Here is a 1,561-nt window from a genome sequence, read left to right as displayed (position 1 = left end):
CCTCTTTCCAAAGGCAGCGAAAATAGCATGGTAAAATTTCCTCCATCTTTTTCCTTTGGAACTAGAATCATAGTTCTTTAAGTAACTGCATAACCTTTTAAAACAATTGTATTCATTTTCATTGTTATGCACTGTCTGCTGAGATACAGTCCACCATGGGCCTCTTGGGCTCCTACACAACTTGCTGCATTTGCCAACATCCCAGGGCTTTGACTGTTATACCTGGGTCACTTCTCGGGATTGCTCATGTACCTGGTAATTCTGAGATGATGGTGCATTGCAGTTTTTACACTGCACTTGGGCTTTTTCCGGACAAAGAATAGGCTTGCTTAAAAACACATTCCCTAAGCTTGGATTCCTTTCCTGTGACTCACCCCGCTGTATCTGCAAGCTCTACTGGGCCCTCCATATTGCCCTATGGGATTTGGGACTTGAGAAACTGATGCAACCATGCTGGTAAATCTCATTACTGTTCTGCTGCAGCTAAGAATGTCCTTTGTCTCTAGCTCAGGGGTCTAGTGCCTTCAGTCAGCATTAATGGAACTGTGGCAGGCTAACTTGTTATTTTGGTGGGAGTTTTCCTGCTTCTAAGTTTCCTTCATATCGTCAAACATAGTAAAGTAGGGCAAAATCCCGATACTTTATTTGTAAAGAATTCAAGTCATTGTTATACATTCTGTATTTTTTCTCCTAAAACATTTTTGAGAAGTATGTAGATACAGGTTTTTTCCATTTTATAAGTGAAGAGTTGGAAGTGGAGGATAAGTGATTTTTCTCAAGATCATTTTCTTTCTTTTTGAGACAGAGTGTCATTCTCTCACCCAGGCTGGAGGGCAGTGGTGTGATCTTGGCTCACTGCAGTCTCGACCTCCTAGGCTCAAGTGGTCTTCCTACCTCAGTTTCCCGAGTGGCTGGGACTACAGGTATGTGCCACCCCACACAGCTAATTTTTGTATTTGTTATAGAGACAGGGTCTCACTATGTTGCCCAGACTGGTCTCGAACTCCTGGGCTAAAGCGATCCTCCTGCCTCGGCCTCCCAAAGTGCTGGGATTACAGGTGTGAGCCACCATGCCTGACCTTCTCAGAATCATTTAGTTAATTCGTAGCAAGTCAAGTGCTACATTTTAGCCCTTCTCACTGATAACACAGGAATGGTAGTATCTTTGCTATATAATAGTGCTATCTTCTTTCTCAACTAACATTTCTCTTTGCTTAATTTGGAATATAGAAATTATAATTGCTATTCTAGGAAGAAAGGATTCTGGGTAGTGTAATTACTAACTGAAAATCTGAAATTATGCAGACTTCCCAATATTTCAATATTTCAACATGATTTGTTTCAGTCTTCACACAAAAATAATACTCATATAAGAAAAATAAAATGATATCAATAATGTTCATTCTTAGCCTCAAACACAGCATTTCTCACAGCATGGTCCTCATCAAAATAATCTGGAGAGCCCTTTAGGAATACAGATTCCTGGGCTCCACCCCAGAGCTACCTAATCAGAATTTCCAAGGTGCAAAGGAATCCTGTGTTTTTTATCAAATGTCCAAGG

At 40.7% G+C, this 1,561-nt stretch overlaps 1 annotated feature.

Moving 5' to 3' along the window:
* Positions 209–503: an enhancer, noted in NCBI's record as "tiled region #7030; HepG2 Activating non-DNase unmatched - State 24:Quies, and K562 Activating non-DNase unmatched - State 23:Low". NCBI's record gives its function as "activates a minimal TATA promoter and a strong SV40 promoter by Sharpr-MPRA in HepG2 and K562 cells {active_cell/tissue: HepG2 | K562}" and the evidence as "EXISTENCE:reporter gene assay evidence [ECO:0000049][PMID:27701403]".

This window comes from Homo sapiens, chromosome 4, assembly GCF_000001405.40.
Source record: "Homo sapiens chromosome 4, GRCh38.p14 Primary Assembly".
Classification (NCBI taxonomy): Eukaryota; Metazoa; Chordata; class Mammalia; order Primates; family Hominidae; genus Homo; species Homo sapiens.
This window is presented reverse-complemented; position numbering and strand designations above follow the sequence as displayed.